General features: G+C 33.7%; 1 non-coding gene across 1 annotated transcript; it reads right to left on the bottom strand.

Moving 5' to 3' along the window:
• Nucleotides 1-393: 393 nt before the first annotated feature.
• LOC124900362 (small nucleolar RNA SNORA18) lies at nt 394-525 on the bottom strand. The gene has a single exon (XR_007064812.1). It is a non-coding gene; the product is annotated as a small nucleolar RNA SNORA18 (small nucleolar RNA).
• Between the last annotated feature and the right edge of the window lie 304 nt (nt 526-829).

Raw genomic sequence — 829 nt, 5'->3', positions numbered from 1 at the left:
AGTTAGCCCTTTCAAATGAAACTGACATTTATTTTAATCCAGTTGTCCTGTCAACCCATAATTCTTTTATTTTGGCTTCTGTCATCTCCTTTTAATATGGATATACTGACGAAGACTTCAAAATTCACCAGTAGTCTTTGGGATCTGATTTCTTCCACCAATTTACTTTAGGGTCATTTTTAGTGTAGGTGGATCTGCCTGGTTCTCAATTTGACACCCTCTCTAAACATGAATGAGTTCCAATCATATTCGTTCCTAAGTGATCAAATTCAAGAATAGTACAGATGTGTGGAATATGCCAATACCTAAGGTAAAAAAGTAAATTATCAGGTCTTTACTAAGACAGTTACTGAACTAAAGACAGTTTAGTAACTGTCTTTTTCATACTTCAGCAACTGTCTTGTGGTTCCTTCCCACAGATGTAACAATAGTCCTGTAAGTAAAGTAAAATCACAGAGTTACTCTATGAGGCATTTCCAACAACGTGCAGGCTACAGGAAAAGACCTATCGGGATAGACCTCAACGGAATGTTGAATTTAAAAAGCAAGTCACCAAATATCACTTAAGTAAAATTTATAAATATACTAAACAGCAAACTACATCAATGTTTCTCTTTTTCGGTTTTAGGAATCTCTTACTCTCCTAAAATTATTGAAGTTCCAAAGAGATTTATTTCATTTGGGTTGCATTTATTAATTTTTTCTATATAAGAAATTAAAGCTAAAAAAGTTTTGAAACACAAGAATGCAAGTATTCATTTCCTTAGGCATCAGAGCATTTACACCTTTAGGTAGCTCCACTGTATCCTCATGAAAGAATGAGAGTAAA

This window comes from Homo sapiens, chromosome 15 (genome assembly GCF_000001405.40).
Source record: "Homo sapiens chromosome 15, GRCh38.p14 Primary Assembly".
Lineage (NCBI taxonomy): Eukaryota > Metazoa > Chordata > Mammalia > Primates > Hominidae > Homo > Homo sapiens.
This window is presented reverse-complemented; position numbering and strand designations above follow the sequence as displayed.